General features: G+C 39.8%; 1 protein-coding gene and 2 long non-coding RNA genes across 4 annotated transcripts in view, besides 1 other annotated feature; 1 reads left to right on the forward strand and 2 right to left on the reverse strand.

Annotated features, from left to right (window-relative positions):
* The first annotated feature begins 168 nt into the window (after positions 1-168).
* On the forward strand, positions 169-18,231 carry EFCAB14-AS1 (EFCAB14 antisense RNA 1). Of its 2 annotated transcripts, NR_038827.1 has the most exons (4): positions 169-352; positions 8,314-8,397; positions 12,806-12,896; positions 18,007-18,231. It is a non-coding gene; the product is annotated as an EFCAB14 antisense RNA 1 (long non-coding RNA). The 2 variants fall into 2 exon arrangements; NR_038828.1 differs by lacking the exon at positions 8,314-8,397.
* Positions 1,292-18,262, reverse strand: part of EFCAB14 (EF-hand calcium binding domain 14) — a 43,956-nt gene continuing 26,985 nt past the window's right edge. Inside the window, exons 5-11 of the mRNA NM_014774.3 lie at positions 17,960-18,070; positions 15,720-15,824; positions 14,486-14,677; positions 12,917-13,003; positions 10,624-10,735; positions 9,433-9,558; positions 1,292-4,769 (exon numbers count right to left, since the gene is read on the reverse strand). Coding sequence (NP_055589.1) covers positions 4,594-4,769; positions 9,433-9,558; positions 10,624-10,735; positions 12,917-13,003; positions 14,486-14,677; positions 15,720-15,824; positions 17,960-18,070 — 909 coding nt within the window. The 3' untranslated portion in view covers positions 1,292-4,593. The remainder of the gene's footprint in view (positions 4,770-9,432; positions 9,559-10,623; positions 10,736-12,916; positions 13,004-14,485; positions 14,678-15,719; positions 15,825-17,959; positions 18,071-18,262) is intronic.
* Positions 11,216-12,910, reverse strand: LOC105378698 (uncharacterized). The gene is made up of 2 exons (XR_947298.3): positions 12,105-12,910; positions 11,216-11,278 (listed from the first exon to the last, which is right to left on the reverse strand). It is a non-coding gene; the product is annotated as an uncharacterized LOC105378698 (long non-coding RNA).
* Positions 15,450-15,744: a silencer, noted in NCBI's record as "tiled region #7632; K562 Repressive non-DNase unmatched - State 15:Elon". NCBI's record gives its function as "represses a minimal TATA promoter and a strong SV40 promoter by Sharpr-MPRA in K562 cells {active_cell/tissue: K562}" and the evidence as "EXISTENCE:reporter gene assay evidence [ECO:0000049][PMID:27701403]".

An 18,262-nucleotide genomic window follows, 5' to 3' on the forward strand; every position in this document is an offset into this window, starting at 1 on the left:
GATAGCTGCTGAGGGTACGTGAGCTATGTTGATTTACAGTCGCTATGTCACAGGCAAAATGAGTCATCACGAGCCCTGTGAGCCACACTGCACTATGGGCTGAAATGCATTCTTTGTTATTATCTATGATGTATGCAGCTCTTACGTGGTTGCCTCTTTACATTATTTCTAATAATTCACAAGAACACTGCCAAATGGATATCATGATCCTCCTCTTATGGATGAAGAGACAGGTTCCAAGGGCATATGCCATACCTTTCTTAGTTGCAGAGCCAGTTCTCAAATCTACATCTGCCTTGCATCAAAGTTACTGGTATGAAAGTTATTGATCATCAGTTGCTTGGCATCAAAGGTACTGATCTTCCCACCATACGCCATAGTGCCCCTTCCCTAATGATATGTCGTGTTAGAAAACACTTGGTGAATGCTTCGGATTGTATGTAGGGTGTCATTAAGTTGGTCCATGAACTGGCTTGGAGGAAGGGCTGGTCAGTGAACTGCCTAAAATTATACGTAGACATATATCCATAGTTTTTACCTTTCCTACAGGAATCCATGTCCCCCTCCCAAAAGTTAAGATCCACCACATGGGAATATTAATAATTTTTGTACTTCTGGAAATGGTTCTAAAAGGTGAGACAAAGATAATACTGCCCATTTGGCTGCAGTTTTGAGGTAAGAAAGCCCAGCTCTATCACAGGATATGTGTTTCTCCCTTTCCTTTTGGAAATGAACAAATCCTCTCATTATATTTGTAAATAACAAAAGCTTTATGTATAGTCATTTACATAATGACTGAGGGGGAAGGTCACCAGATTCTGTGTTGCGGGGAGGGGGGGAGGTATCCAGAATCTAGCAAACATGTAGAGTTATTTTTTTCTGTGTGTGAAAAAGTTTTAGCTTGTGTATGACCCCTCTTTAGCAACGGATTTTAAGCTTTTTTTTTTTTTTAAGGTGGTGGGACATTTATGGCAAACACGCTTTTATATTGACTCTCAAAAAATAAAACAGGCCTAAGTGGAGCATCTCGGGTAGACACAGGGGCAGGGCTCACTCCTGCCTCACCTCACCCCTCCCATCCTCTGGATGCAAAAAGCCTGAACCCTGCAGCCTTTGCTTCTTCAGGCCAAATATTGCAGTCCTTAAGGCAGACTCTTAATTACTTTGGGCCCACCATGTGTTACTCCTTGCTTTCAAAAGGTGTAAGGCGTCCATAAATATAGAAATCAAAGCAGATTTTTTTTTTCCCTTAAAAATCGCAGGGGAGTGAGAGAGGCTTTAGTCAGACACATTGAGAGAAAAAAGAAATTTTTTTATTTAGCTAAATTAAAATGGCTGTGTTACTTATTTGAAATATGCAAAGCTCAAATCAAGTCATGGAAACCCTGAATTCTCCCTAAACAGAACCAAAATTGCTTATACATTACCAAAATAGCTTCACTAAAACAAAGTAGATTTAAATTTCTTAATATGAGAAAACAACAAGGTAGGTTAGGTTCGTATAACAAACAATACACGCTCTATAAAGTCTCAGGAATACCCAAATGTGTTCTGGTTTGGATATGAAAGAGGGACCACTTCTAGCTGGTGTTGGTAAGCAAGCCAATGAGGTGTGCAGCAAACAAAACCTGTCACTAAAAACAACTCAACAGGCCATTATGAGTATGAGCCCATCACAGCCAAAATCCTCAACTGTGACCGGCAGGACCAGCAAGGGGGGGTGTTGAAGGGGTTATGAACAGCAACCATAAAGAAAGGAATCTCCAACAGAAGGGACAATGGCCAGCAGTAGGTGAAGGGAACCCATTCTTCAGCTCTGTTGCATCATACACATTCCTGAGGGTCAGGCACCTCTGCCTTTTAGATGACACCACAGTCATCTAGAAGTCAGGTTTTCTCTTCTTTTGGTTCTTCTTTTTATATGCTACCTTTTTGCCTCTCTGATTTATGGGGAGGCTCTTTTAGTAAACATTATACAAGATAGTACAAGGCAAAAGAAAACAAGGACCAAGAAGCAGTGCTTTGAGTAACTTAGGAAAGCAGCAGTAGGAGCTGCCAGACTGAAAAGGTAAAAGGGTTTAAAACCAAAACCAAAACCAAACTCACTATCCAGTCTTCCTCTCAGAGATGAGATATGGCTGGTGAGGCTTGACTACAGCTAAATACAAGTCACAGGCTTAGTAAGTTAAGACAACATACAAATAAAAGTCCCAAATTCACACTAAATAATAGGCTTATGGGATGCTTAAGCCAGTGAGTCTGCTCAACTCAGAAGAAAGGAGTTCAAGATACCCTACTTTTGCCTGGAAGATGTACTTTCTCAGGCAGGATGACAAAAATATTCATAGATCTGAGAATGCAGTATAAACACCTCTGCCAAACTTGGTAGGGGGAGAGGATGGTACTGTATACTGGCTCAGGGGTGATACTAGTCAGACAAGCACAAGGTAGGAAGAACAGAAGATAAACCAAAAAACAAAATGGATTTCTCCATGTATAGTTATCTGATGCAAGGGAAAATACACACAACAAAGAGTTAAGGTGTCTTCAAAGTATCTGCCTATGAATAAGAATTTGAAACTAAAAAGGACAAGCTACATTACCCTCAAGTATATTTCATATAAATCAGTTCTCAAAAAAATACCTTCCAGGTACAGACATACTATTTATGGTACAGTATATACAAATATAGCAGTATAATTCAATTTATTGCTAGAATTTTATTTGGTTGTTAGAAAATCTGTAAGGGTGTATATATATTAAAAAAAGGTGTGGGGTGAGAGTGGATGGAAGGCAGTCAGAAGGGTGAGAGTTATTTTCAAGTTACCTAAAGTGCCAGGCTAATTTGTTTTAACCTTTCCAAGAAAGTGAAACTGAGCATAAGCTATAATGAGATAAGGGGACACATTCATGGGAAAAGACTTCATCTTGCTTTAACTAAATTTTAATACTTCTGGAAAAAAAATTTAAGTTTGGTTAATACCAAGCTGAACATCATGTAAAGAAAAAAAAAACAGCCCTTAAATGTTTAAGGGTACCGGACTGTATCCATGGTGAAGGGCAACCTGAACAAAGTTAAAAAGGAAATGATCTCCACTAAAGAAGTCTGTGGCATGACAGCTTTCTCTACTTTCTCCCTGACTTGGCCTATACCAAAGTTAAGTTTTTGTAGTTTTTTTTTCCCCTTTCAAGTTGTTGCCCAAAGACTGCTTCTAAGAACAACACAGCAATTCTAGACTCAACATACAGGAGACATGGAGGTATTATTCCTTTCAATCTAGGGATCTTTCATGCCAGGTCCACAGAAGCATTTAAAGGAAGTATTGTACTTGATTGTATTAGATTTGAAAAACTTGCTACCACCATGTGAAGGCCCTAGCTCCAGGCCTGCCCTGCTATACTTTGGCATCCTTTGGGTAGAAAGCCTCTAGCTACTTCTGAGCTGGTAATGGTAAGGAAACTGAATATTATTTCACATGTTTCATCTCACAGCCTTTTTGGCTTTAGTCATCCCCCAGAGAAACATATTAGGCTCTTGGTTAGCCTCTAGGTAAAATCTCAAGGGGTATGGTTTTCTGGGTCAAAATTAGAAGCACAGCTCTCTTCTAAAGCTCTGGGTGGTCAGTGTGAGATAATGGCTGGGGGAATTTAGCCCTGCCATTCAAATGGAGATGGTACTGGTGGTGGGAGCCAGCTACGGCTTTAAGACAGACTTAAGTGGGTGGGTGGGGAAGGCAATCTAGCTCACTCAGCAGGGAAAATGGAGCTCCCCAATGGATAACTTTTTATGCTCATAAACCCTGAAATAGTACTAAAAATGAGAAAAATCCCCAAGACTTCTCTGATTCCCAGGTTGGGATTAGCTGAGGGAATAGGAACAAAGAACCAGAATCCTACTTCCATGAGCCATGCCTGGAGTCAGTATTGTCTCCAGTGTCTACTCCCTGAAATCGGTTCCTCCAGCTACCAGGACAAACCCCCTGGCAGCGCCTGGGCCTTTGAGGGATACCTTATGGAGACATGGATGTAGTTTCAGCTGCCACCTACACCAGATCAGCAATTTTTAATAAGTCATTTGTTCATATCCTGTTCAAAACCATTCTTCCTACTTTCCACACAATATGCACAATGCTTTCTTTCATTTAAATATTTACAAACAGAAAAGGCCTATCTTTTAAAGAAAAGACATTTTCTGAGTCTCTATAAAGTGCAGCTAATTTAAGGCAAATTTAAGTGAAATATAAAAGTGGCTTATTCTCTCTCTATATACATTTCCCAGCTTTAAAAGATAAGGTCTCCTCCCCTCAAAAAAAGGAAAGAGAAAAAAAGAGGGCTTTAATTTTTTTTCTGGCAATTTTAAAATGTAAGATCTTACTGGTTGTAGGAAATCATAGATTTCTGAACATCATAAGTAAAATGGTCTTCTTCTTTAAAAAAATAACTTTTATATAGCTTCTTCAAACAAGTTAAAAGGTGGCAAAGTATCTGCTACAGTAGTTTGGAGGACTAGAGGACTGATGGGTAAGTAAGGGTTGTTTTGTTGTTAGGTAAATAGATATTAGGCAGTCCATTTCTAAAATATGCCTGATGAAGCTAGATACCTAAAGCTACCCTTAGCTCCAGGAATGAGTATCTTCCATCTCCATCGGAATCAAATGCTCTCAAGCTCTCTGGTTCTGGCATAGCAGAACCTAGGGAGGTCCAGATTTCCTGGTAGGTCAGCTTCCCATCCACGTCCTGGCCAGTCTTGCGGAATAAATCCTGAAGATCTGTCAAAAATGAATTACAAAAAATGTATACGTCTAAACATACAGCTAAATTTAGTTAAAAGTAGTCTCAACTGAATTTAAAACACTAAAAGAAAAGCTACTCCGCAAATTTTGTTTCCAAATGGTAAAGTTTAGGATTTCACTAAATCAGGAAGACTAATTTTTGATCCCTTAAAAATATATTAAAAAAAAAAAAAAAAAAAAGGCTGGGTGCAGTGGCTTATGCCTATAATCCCAACACTCTGGGAGGCTGAGGCAGGAGGATTGCTTGAGGCCAGGAATTTGAGACCAGCCTGGGCAACACAGTGAGACACTGCCAAAGTAGAAGCAGTGACAGATAATCGCAGGAGAATGAATGGTCTCATCTTCTCTCTGTCCAGCGTCTTCCCTTTAGATTTTCCTGAATTTATTCTTATGTTGAAGGGGTGAAAAGGAATGCAGAGGCCTAATGAGTTATGTGATAGGAGCTAGCTCATAAAACAGACTGTGGCATATTGTGAGATTTCTTGTTGGATGGCTGAGTGGAGACTGGAGGAATGACTTGGAAGCCCATAAAACAATCCCAAACACTCATAGCTTTCTCAGTTTTGACAGGAAATCCAAAGCTCAAAGAGGAAAGTAACTTGCCTACGGTCATGTAACTCTTAAGTGGAATACAATACAAATTTCTTTTCTTTTTTTTGAAGCTAAGTCTCACTCTGTCGCCCACGCTGGAGTGCAGTGGCGCGATCTTGGTTCACTGCAACCTCTGCCTCCTGGGTTCAAGTGATTCTTGTGCTTCAGCCTCCTGCGTAGCTGGGATTACAGGCGCCCGCCACCACGCCCAGCTAATTTTTTTTAATGTTTAGTAGAGATGGGGTTTCACCATGTTGGCCAGGCTGGTCTTGAACTCCTGACCTCAGGTGATTCGCCCACCTGGGCCTCCCAGAGTGCTGGGATTATAGGCGTGAACCACCACGCCTGTTTTTTTTTTTTTTTTTTTTTTTTTTTTTTTGGTGGAGTCTTACTCTGTCACCCAGGCTGGAGTGCAGTGGTATGATCTTGGCTCACTGCAACCTCTGCCTCCTAGGTTCAAGCTATTCTCCTGCCTCAGCCTCCTTAGTAGCTGGCATGACAGGTGTGTATCACCAGGCCTGGCTAATTTTTGTATTTTTAGTAGAGATGCGGTTTCATCATGTCGGCCAGGTCTCTAACTCCTAGCCTCAAATGATCTGCCCACCTCAGCCTCCCCAAAGTGCTAGGACACCACACCTGGCCTAGAATACAAATTTCTTATTACCTAGTCCAGTGCTCTTTCTACTATGTGACACTTGTCTCTCTGGATCCAGAAATTAAGCAGCTCAAGAACCAGTGACTCAAAAGTGTAATGAGATACCATGTCATAATCACTACGATGGCTATAATAAAAAAAGACAGGCCTTACCAAGCATTAGGGAGGATGTGGAGAAAGTGGATTGAACCCTCACACATTGCTGATGGGAATGTAACATGGTACAGCCACTCTGGAAAAGTGTAGGAGTTCCTCAAAAAGTTAGGGCTATCATATGACCCATTAATTCCATTCCTAGGTATATATATACTCAAGGCAAATGAAAACATATGTTTACATAAAAACTTGCACATGAATGTTCATGGCAGCATTACTCTTAATAGCCCAAAAGTGAGAACAATCGAAATGTCCATCAACGGATGAACAGACCAAAATGTGTTAGGTCAACAGAATGGAATATTATTCAGCCATAAAAAGGAACGAAGTACTGATACATGCTCCAACATGAATAGACCATAAAAACATTATGCTAAGTGAAAGAATCATATTGAAAGAAAAAGCACACACAAGGCCACATACTGTATGATTCCATTTATGTGAAACACCCCAAATAGGCAAATCCATAGAGATAGTGATTAAGAGACTAGTGGTTGCTGGAGACTGGCAGGAGAGGGGACTGGGAGTGACTGTTTAATGGGTACAGAGATTCTGTGAGGGGTGATGAAAATGTTCTGGAATTAGATAGTGGTGATGGTTGCATGACCTTGTGAATACACTAAAAAACACTGGATTAAAAACACTGCATTTTAAAAAGGTGAATGTTATGGTATGTGAATTGTATTTCAATAAAAAAGAACCAGAGGAATTATCTCTCCAAAGTGCATGCTCTCTACTTTTTAAAAATCAGTAAAAAGAAAAAGAGCAATATTACCAGTTGATCTGTATCTTTTTTATTTCAATGGCAATATTGAGCCAAAATGATTAGAGAATGTCTATCAATAGTTTCTTCTGGCATTTTCTCAAGGGCCTCATCACAAACACTTAGGAAGGTCAGTTATATACATAACTTTTTTTTTTTTTTTGAGACAGGGTCTCCCTCTGTCACCCAGGTTAGAGTGCAGTGGCATGATCACAGCTCACTGTAGCCTCAAACTTTTAGGCTCAGGCTATTCTCCCGAGTAGCTGGGATTACAGGGTGTGCGCTACCACGCCTGGCTAATTTTTGTATTTTTTGTAGAGTTGGGATTTCACTGTGTTGCCCAGGCTGGTCTCGAACTCCTGAGCTCAAGCCATCTGCCTGCCTTGGCCTCCCAAAATGCTGGGATTACAGGCATGAGCCACTGCACCTGGCCGTATATACATAACATTTAAAAAATACTTGTGTCCCCATAATCAAATAGAAGATTTAATATCTAATACCAAAGAAGGTCAATGAGCTTTATGTTTCTTTAAAAATCTTCCCAAACTCCTTTAATTTCATCATTTATTCCACACCATACCTAGGTAAAATAGGCCTCTTGATGTTTGGTATTCAGGAAGAATAAAAATAGCTTGAAGGGAGGGAAAACAGTTGCAGTGCAAGGTCCAGTCCATCAAGGAGCTCCTATAAACAAGCTCCTGAATAGGGCCCTACTCTCACTCCTACAATAGGTGCAGCAATGCAGCTAATAAAATGTCAAAAGCTCTCTGAAAGGCAGGAAAGCAGTGGGACACTTGTTCCCAATGCCTTACACCAAGTGGCTAGCTGAAGAGTTCTGTTTTTTTTTTTCTTTTTTTTTGTGGCATGAGTTTATACAACATGCTACACTACGCACTTGGTAGCAGTATTCAAATAAAAATATGATTGCTGCCTCAGGTCATTCCAAAAGTATAGTCATCCAAAAGTATTTAAGGCCTATGCTGAGGACTGAAGCACAAGTGTTAAGACTGCTATTCCTTACTCTGACCTAATAGCTTTCCCCCATTCATTCTCATCAAATATTGATTTAACAATGGAAAGTGGCAGGAAGCTTGTGTTCCCATTAAACACAACACTTCCCCTCCTCCCCAGAAAACAGAAAAAAAAAAAGTCAGGAACAGGGAAGAAAAGTAATCACATTTAAATGGTGATAGAAAAATTTAAGTCTTCTATGCTTTAAGCATTTAATTGCAATGTGTAGGTAACTCATTCATTTATTTAACAAATATTCAGGAGTACCAGGTACTGTGCTAGGGGCTGGGAGTAAACAAGACATAGTCCTTACCCATAGGAAGTTATATTTTGTATCTCCCCAGGAAATTCCAACAGAGTGACATGTGCTAAACAGGGGCAAACAAAATTTAAGAGCACACAGGAGGAGCCTAATCCAGTCACTGGAGGTAAGGAAATGTTCCTGGTAGAATGGTATCTAGGCTAAAGAGAAGAGCCAGAGGAAGGTGTGGTGGACAGGAGCAAGTGATTTGCCAGGCAGCCAGCTAATACAAAATCGGGAGGCACTAAACATCACCATGAGGGATAGAACATGCACTGCTGGAAGCAGTGCAAACACATTTTTCTGTGAATCATATCCTTTGTACTAATATTTTGCTGATTTTCAGTAAAAGGGTCCTTCATTTTTGGAGGGCCCTGACAAACAGGGTCAACTTTTACTTTATTTTACTAATCTCATGGTATTGTATTTGCTTTTATGCCTTCTCCATTAGACTGTAATATCCTTGAAGAAAGAAAATGAGACCATATCTTATACTGTATTCTTATTGCTTAGCACTAGGTTTAATGAGGCACTCAGTGAATGAAGACCCTAAAAAACATTAACAGAAAGATAATATAGTACACTGGTTAAAAGTGCAAGCTTCGGCCAGGTGAGTTGGTTTGTGCTTGTAATCCCAGCACTTCAGTAGGCTGAGGCAGGTGGGTCACTTGAGGTCAGGAGTTCAAGACCAGCCTGGCCAACATGGTGAAACCCTATCTTTACTAAAAATACAAAAAATTAGCCAGGCATGGTGGCACACACCTGTCCCAGCTACTTGGGAGGCTGAGGCATGAGAATTGCTTAACCCTGGGAGGCAGAGGTTGCTGTGAGCCCAGATTGTGCCACTGCACTCCAGCCTGGGGGTCTAAAAAAAAAGCACAAGCTTTGGCATCAGACTGTCTTGGTTTGCATTCTGTTTCAACCAATTATTTGCTGTGTGGACTTAGGCAGTTTCCCTATCAGTAAAATGGGTATAATACATAAATACTTATGTTCATGGGATGGTTATCAGGATTATATGACATAATGCATATAAAGTATCTGGCACTTGATATCTCCTCAATAAATGTTAGATCATATATATTTTTGACAAGTGAAAATAAACATTAAAAAGTTATTACTTTGAACATTCCCATTACTACCCCGTGGTATAAAAATTTACCTTCAGTGCTAGAAACTCCTGGTAGGGAGATAGGTCTTAGTTGGGCAGCTTTCTCAACTGGGTCTCCAAGAAACTGTGAAAATTTTGGCAATGCTGATGGCTTTGATGTGAAACTCTCTACTTGCTCTGTAACAAATACATAAGGTTTTATTTAGTATTATTGAATCTAACACCAAATTAAACTAGTATCGAAGGTCACCTTTTAGGAAAATTGGATATACAATTAATTTAGAGAAACATTTGAAGATAAAGTAGCATAGTGACTATGTGAAGTTAAAGGCTTGGATTGAGACATATTTGTGGGCAAGGGAACACCAATCAGTATTATATTACGTTAAGGTTTGCAGCAGCAGTCCCATTAGAAGATCTTACAGTACAAGCTAGCATTAAACATGTTTAGATGGTAAGAGCTTAAGCTGTCAAGTGGCAAGAACAGTGGCTGGATATCAAAGATCTTGACATCCTGGGAGATGTGCTTTAAACCCAGTCTAGGGGTATGTGCCACCCGCTAAGCTGGTGCTAAGAGTGCAACCGTAAGATGATGTAGCACAATGTTAGGACAAGACATTCCACCACAGTTCTGTCTCCTACTAAAGGAGAATTCAAGAGAGTTTGTACTGCTTTTCTAAAATAGAAAAATACTTGTGTGGGGGAAAAGGTCAAAGCTAACACAGTCCAGTGCCTTGGTTATGTCCTCACAGGGTCTAAATCAGTGGAGGCTCATGTATCTGCTAATATTGATTAGACAGGTCCATACCTAAAGCCAAAGACCCTTCCAACCCAAAGATCCCATCATTATTTTTGTTAACGATTTTCAGAAGGGCGAATATTTATTTTTAAATACATGTTATGCACTTACAGAAAGGAAAAGACTCTCATAAACAACTTTTAGGGCTGGCTTAATATACTCTATGACAGTAACATTTTTGCCTATAATTGGATGCAGACAGCATGGAGAATTCTATTTCCAGCTAAACATTACCAATTCTTCCCTTAATAGACTAGAGTACAAATCATGTACAAAATGGGCCTTTTCTAAATGAAAGCAAAGTGTATCAGCTTCATCTCGGTGCGTTCAGGCATCACTCGCTTGGTGCGATCAGTACTGCTGGAACACCTTCCCTGCTCCCCATGTGAGAGGCAAGCTGCTCAAGCCTCCATGAAATATTAAGAAGCCGGCTCTGCTCTCACCTTCATCGGCGGTCTCTGGAGGCCTGTTGCTCTCAGGTTTGTTTGTAAGAGCACTGATCAGCTGGAGTTTCTCTCTTAGCTTGGATACCTGAGAATTTGAACTATCTTCTTTCTGCACAAAACAAAGATTATAGAAGGTTTAAGGTGGTAGTAAGACTTCATCTAAGTGTCCACTGTATTCCCAGAGCCTGTTTAGCATGTAGTGTTTGACCCTCAGTAGGTTCCCTATAAAGACAATAAAAGAATGAATCAACATATACTGGTGATGTCTTTGGTCCTCAGCACTGATAAGTATCTTGCTGGATTTGAAACCATTAAGGGAACATTATGCTACAGATGATCTGATTCACTGTGAACATTTGGTTGATGGGGGAAGGAATGCATGTGTCAGCAGTAAAGGAAATGTACCCTTGCTCAGGTGCCTATGCGACACCCATTTCCTAAATAAGCAGGATCTTGTTTTCTAGGAGCTATTTCACACTAACTAAATAACTTTCCGAAATATCTTGCTTCACCTTGTGACTAGACCACTTTAGGCAGAATTTCATGCTCTTACCACCTTACAAAAAGAAGCAACTGAACAAAAACAAACCACAAGTTTTCCCCTGATCTTTCCTCTGTTTCTCCCTGGTGATGAGTCAACTGGTGGCAGAAACTGTTAAGACATAAAGAAGGAGCTGTAATATTTCTAATTCAAAGTCTTGCTTGCTCGTATCTTTTAAAAAAGTTTTTTCGCCCATACCCTGCCTCATTCCCAGGAGTATCAAGAGTGGCATATACAAATACATTTAATTATAAAAAGAGAGACATCTGGTTTCTATGAGGCTCATTTCTAACTGCTTAGATGAGTGTGAAAGGTCCTGATCCTATGTTTAATTAGAACACCAACTCATTACACATTTATTTTATTATTGATTTACTTTTCTTGTATAAGTAATTGTTAACTTCTCTTGCCCCATCTTATTTCTACTCTAATAGTTACTGTATAGTAGTTCACTCAGTTTATTTAGGGAGCTAAAATATGAACATATGTAGTGAAAACTAGGTACTAAATGTTTGAAGAACTAATGGTAAGGAGAAATTGTATCTGGTTAGGATGTTTGGATGAGGTAGGACAAAGGAACTGATACCCTGCGATGACAGTTAAAAACAAAAAAGGCCTGAAAGTAAAGCCAAGATGAAATTTATGTATACATGTGTACTGGTGTGTTCTGATATTTATTGTTAAAATGTGAACTGTGGCTGAAATTGCTACTACTTTCTAATAGAAACCACCTATTAGTTTTTTTGTGCTCAAAATTTACATCTGGCTCTTAAGTTTTTCTGTCTTCTCTAGGTGAGGTTTAAAAAAAATCTGCAGAAGCAGTTAGAAAACTCAACAAAAGCTTAGCTTATGATGCATTAAAACCTTAATATATTGTGACTTTATCTAGATAATATAAAACTATTAAGGTAGGAAAAATAAAGATATAAAGCATTACATCAAAAGCTGCCTTTACTGTGTGGTTCCAGTTCAAGTTCATTTTCTCTGAACCTCAGATCCTCCCAACTTCTCAAACATAATATGCATTTGAGATGGTAATTTAGTCACTTGGTCATAATCTTCCTGGCTTTTCTTTTATCTTAGCCCAGAGTTTAACACTCTAATCAGAGAATACTGTAATCACACTTTCTTTCCTGGAATATCAAAGCATATCATAGATTGCTGTCTTGACAGTATGTCTAGGAAGAACAAAAAAGGGGAAGGTACAAGGTGAAGGGAACTGGCTGAGGTTTAAATGGACTATGAATACATAGAGATTGCAATACAAAAATAGGAAATAAATTTTAGATTAGACACCATTTTTAGATTATCTCTGCCTCTGTCCCCCATCATTAGTACAGATAACTTACTGTCTTAGTGTAAAAGTCATTTCCTTAGGGAAGCCTTCTTGATCTTATCATATCCTGTATTTGTCCTTTATAATACTTATCATACTCATGATTCATGACCTGTTCAATTATGTGTTAACGATTTTCTGACTGACAGGACTTTGAGCTCCACCACAATAGGGGTCACATGTCTGCCTTGCTCACTATGGTCCCCCCAGCTCCTACTAAAGTGTTTGGCACAGGGTAGGTGCCTAAAAAAGTATTCATTTATTCACTAACATACTAATTTACTAATTGCTTTGTTTTGAAGTTTCAGCACATGAGAACAAAAGTACGCCCTTTGAAAAAGTAGCAGTAGATCAAAAGCACAGAGATGCTGCTGCATTTACTTTTACTTCAGGGTAAGCCTCCCATTATTTACCTTTATGCTTTGGATTTTTACTGTATCTGTTCTGTTGGTGACTTGATCCAAAGACTGTCTTTTCAGAGTGGCAGATCTATCACCCATCTTAAAGGGCAAAACAAAAACAAACAAACAAAGGGAAGATTAAAGGCAAACATTAAAACTTGAACACCTAGCACTTTTAAACAAATTCGTCAAACTTATTTAAAGGATCTCAGAACACTCTCAACAGAAATTGCAGAGGAGTGGGAGATGGGAGGAGAGAGGGAGAAAGGCCAGAGACGAAGTTGAAACTAGTGCTTCTAGCTGTTTCAGTCACAAACTTTAAGGCTTTGAAGGATAAAAGGTGGTAGAACTTTTACTCAAAATACCATGCTGAGCACGATACTGCTCTAAGAAACAGTAGGACAGATGGATACTATTACCTATTTTCTCTGCTGGAGAAATATAAAGTAGGGGGAGAGGGCAGAGACAGTAAAGAGAGTTTAGGAGTGGTAAGTTTTCACAATAAGCCTTGAAAACTTTCAAGGCATAATACTCATCATCCAAAATTCTTAGCCAACCTAGTTTAGCTGAGTTCAAAAGGGCTTCGTAAAATAAAGCTCCTTTAATCTTCACAGCTTTGTAGTAAATTATACAACTCTGTAAAGCAGGAGGGGGAACAGGTCTTCCAACTCCACCCTTCAAAGCCAAGTCCAGGCAACTTGCCAAGGCTCCACTGTGGCAGAGCCAGTTCAAATGCTGCTTTCCATGAACCAGAGTTTGACTTTATTTGTGGGCTTACTTCCAGCTTTGGTGGTTACTTGAATTTATGGCACAATTTCCTGTATTTGGTTTCTATTTTTAAATATATGCCTGTGTCTTTGCTATATGAAATCTTTAAGGGTGGGGGCTGCAGTTATTAAAAAAAGAATCCATGTGGATCCCTGCACAAAGTTTATGTGAAACTGCACATTTTATTCACAACAATATGAAAATCAGTAAGCCGTGCACAGTCGGCCAGCATCAGTGACTTAGTAGGTCAGTTTCCTTACATGTAAAATGAGGAGGTGAACTCAATGACCTCTTAAGTTGGGGAGCTGATCTGACCTGATCTGTTTCCTGACATACGCAAAAGGTTCCCCTTAATATATAGACAGCAGGATAAATATGAAAGCCAAGTTCAGGCTTAAAGAAATGATAAAAGATTTTTGGTTACTATCATTTTCATGGCTCCCACCCCTAATAACTTAAAAAAGAAAAGACCCAAAAGGCCCTCGGAAATACGTGCCAGCACTTCCCTACCAGATGGCGCACTGGTAACATGACAGTAGCCTTGTCATCTCTGCCAACAACTAGTGGTGAGGCCTTGGTAAGCGACTCGACCTCTCCGCATCTCCCTCTCCAAATCAGGACAAACACTGCCTGGCCATTCACATCACACAGCTAGTGTGAGGATTAAATGAGACAACACATTGTGAGGATTAAGCACAACACAAATGTGTGGCCTCTCAAATATGCCAGAAGGCTGTTCTCAAAAGGTGGTAGAATGTTATCCATGCACAGACAAAACACACTGCATGTCACAAAAGATCAGAAAAGGCTTACCATGCTGAAGGACAGGTTTGCTTTCTTTTCTACCTTGCTCATAGCAACCACATCGCTTTCTATCAGGTTGACTCTCTGGGTAAGATTACTGACTGTCTCGTTCATTCCCTCGAGTTTAAGATCATTCTGTCTCTGGTACCCCACTAGGGCACTGTTTACCTCCTCTAAAGAGTTGTGAAGGTACAGGATATCCTAGAGTGGAAATAAATAAAGTTATGGAATCCACTAAAGACGTAAATTAGACAAGCAGGCCAGCAGCACCGAACAACCATTACTATGTCAAGTACTGAAGTAAACTCCTTTTCCTGGTTTTGACCATCAATCGTCTGTCTTTGCTTTGTCCCTCGCACTCTAAATTGCTCCTTTTGGAATTGTTTGGCCTCAGCTAGACAGGAGGGGGAAAGAGGGAAGAGGACTACCTACATGATTCACTCTTTGGTCCCAGAAAGCTGAGAGCTTGGGAATTGATTTCCCCAATGTTTACCTCACCTGCTGGAGGAAAGGCTTGCTGGGTTATTAAATGAAAGGTCCATTAACCTAATTTGTCAGAACAAACCTACCTCAGGAACAATACCGATTACTGAATTGGCTCATGTAACAATACCATAACAAGTAGTGCATTGTTTAGTATAAGATTCAATTATTTTTACTGACATCCTCCAGTACTGATTGCTACTTTAAAAAGAATGATAACTATAGGTTTTAAAGGGCATTAAACTCAGGACAGGAATTCTTCTGAGTGAAGATTTCCTCTATTCTCTTTAATGTGATTCTGAACTCAAAGTCTTTTTTCCCCCTCTTGCCTTTTCGTCTTTAGACTTTAGAAAATCCTGATTTTCAAGGATATGCTTTCTAACATTCTTAGAATTTACTGTGGCTCAAAATAGCCATCACTCTGGATTACTTAGCTATCCATTCATCTTTAACCTGCCCAGATAGCTATTTTTTCATAAAGAGTTTCAGGATAATCTGCTCATTCTATGTCTTTCAAGATAAGAAAAGGAATTTACTCCACTGACTGACATGCAGGGAAAAACTGCAAAGTGCCAAAGAAGGGAAAGGACAGCAATATGGATCCCCGAGATACCAACACACATTCCTCTCTGCTCAGCTCCCAGGCAGGCAAATAAATACAGGATGCACCTGCTGAGACACCAAACACTAAGCCCAAACTATTTGGCTGCCTCTGCAGTGCACTGTGGTCACAGGGAGTTAAGCCAGAGATAAAAAGCACCTGTTTCAAATTCTCACTGTGGGTTTTATTGTCAAGTTCTGATGTGGCTGAAGGTGACGGAATGATCTGGTTGCTTCCAGGAGTCTCCTTCAAGAAGTGCTGATTCTGTTAAGAGGAAAGAAGTTTAGTGTAGGCAACAAGGAATTATTAGGTCTACTTAACTATCTGAGATTGTCCTAGAACATTCTAGCCTCCCCCAGAATGCATCCACAGATTAATCAGTAAGTATTGCCAGGGAATGTACAGGCTAACCAGTCTTGTGCTAGGTTCTGAGAGAACCCAGCTTGAGCATGCACTAGGCCAGCAGCACCAAGATTACATTAGGGAACTGAGATCCTCCTAGTCTATTTCTCAATCTCTTAAAGGAATGAACTCTCTAGAAACCATTTCTCCTTTGCCCCATTGCCTGTGCTCCCAGAGAAACTATAGCATCACTGTAACTTTCCAGGGACCAACTCGGTCTCAACCTGGGACAGTGTCATTGTTTCCACTGGACTCAAGAGCTTTGACATTAAAAAGGCAGCCAGTCATGTAACCACTGGCTTGGGCATTTAGCATAACCACCAATCATGTGCATTATTAGTTTTTCCCTTATAGCATTATGCTAAGTAAGACTTATGTTTGAGGGTTATCTTTCCTTTCCCATTCCCTTCCCACTGCTCAAGTTTCTTTCCAGAGACTGAAGTATAACATGTTTATATACACTTTTCCTTTAGTGAGGAAAACTTTGCATGGCTTAACCCTTCAGAGCCCATAACTATGACTTATCTAGCACAAAGAATGACAGTAGGAGGATTACCATTGGCAGCTATGGAAATTTAAAAGAAGTAGATTTAATTATAACAGAATGCAACTGGTGAAAATAAGTTGTTTTCCTTGAAATCTGAAATCAACCCTGTTTTTATAAGAAAACCAAAAGGCAACAATAAAGAGAAAAGGAGGAGAGAAGGAGGGGGGAATCCATGGTTCTAGAAGGCAGGAAATTTTTTAGTTAGGAAAAATTATTTTAGAAAATAGTGAATTACTTGAGAGCATAATCAAGATATTAAAATAATAAAAGAATTGCTGAATTAGAGGGGTCTTTGTTACTATGGGTCACACAGTTACTCAGCGGCAGTTAGAACCAGAACCAAGGGTCTTGACACCCAGATCAATGTTTTTTCCTCTGGGTTAGCCCCACTAAGTAACAGTGAGGTGTGCCAGTCCTGAAGAAAATGGAAAAAAACTCTCTTCTAGAGCTCTCTAATATAGCCCAGGTCTCCTTGGTACAAACTTCCCAATTTAAACTTGAAATTCTGAAGCTTGCAAAGAGCAGGTGGGGGTGGGAGGGCAGATCCAGAAATTGGCAGAGAGACTAGGGAACTTTTGTGTGCCTTGAATAGTCCTGATTTCAGATGAGTTACATATAACTCATCTCCCCAGCAAGATGGCAAGGGCTGCACCATCCTTTTTTTACTCTTCATAAATCCTTCACGGGGCTGTCACCCATTAAGTGATTGATTAAGGCCTCCAAATGACTGCAGACAGCTTACATCTGCAGCAGCACTAAGTGATCCAGAGATATTTGAAAACAATTCCTAGGCACTGCAGGGGTTTGATTCTGTCAGTTATCTGTTGCTGCCTAACAAATTATCCCAAAGCTTTGTGGCTTAGAACAACAACAATTAAGTATTTCTCATGATTCTGTGGGTTGACTGGGCTCAGCTGGGGGTTGAGGGATGGGGGTGGTGCTGTTCCATGTGTTGTAGGCTGCATTTAACTGACAGCCTGGCTGGAGCTGGAACATGCTAGACAGCCTGCCTTTCATCCACGAGCACATGTTTCAGCATTTGGGAGTCTAAGAGCCTTGCTCAAATTCCTGATGCACAGAATAGTGAGAAATAATTACTTGTTTTAAGCCACAAACTTCTGGGGGTGCTTTGTTATGTAGTAATAAACAATGAGACACTTTTCCACTTCCTTTCCTTCTTTTCCATTTTCTGTCCTACCCATTCCATCCTCAGGAACTGTGTCTTATTACCTTACCTCCTCCAGTACTATGTTTGCAAAAGATTTGGCTTTTAATTTTATCTACCATAATTGCTTTATTAACAAATTGTAGAACAATCAATGTATACTGCTTATTAGATCTTTTGAACAGATGCATAGCAGGGCCTTTTCAGATTAGTGGAAAGTTGGCAACATGACTCTTACACAAAAAAGGGTGAGCAGGAGCATGCTGACTTGCTGGGTCTCCTTACCATATCACTCTGCAGTAATTCCATCGTTTTCTTGTGTTCATCCACAGTTTTCTGTAGTGCTTCCACAGCAAGATGGACGCTGTTTAAAGTATTGCCAATGGAAGCTACACTCTGAATGGAAACATATAGGAAGGTGTAAAAAAGCTTTAAGAGACAACTGACATGCAATAAACTGTACATATTCAAAAATGTATAATTTGAATGTTTTGACACATAAACAATTGTGAAACCAGTACTACAATCAAGATAATAAACACTCATCACCTCTGAAAGTTTCCTCATGACTCTCTGTAATCACTCCCT

This window comes from Homo sapiens, chromosome 1 (genome assembly GCF_000001405.40).
Source record: "Homo sapiens chromosome 1, GRCh38.p14 Primary Assembly".
NCBI lineage: Eukaryota > Metazoa > Chordata > Mammalia > Primates > Hominidae > Homo > Homo sapiens.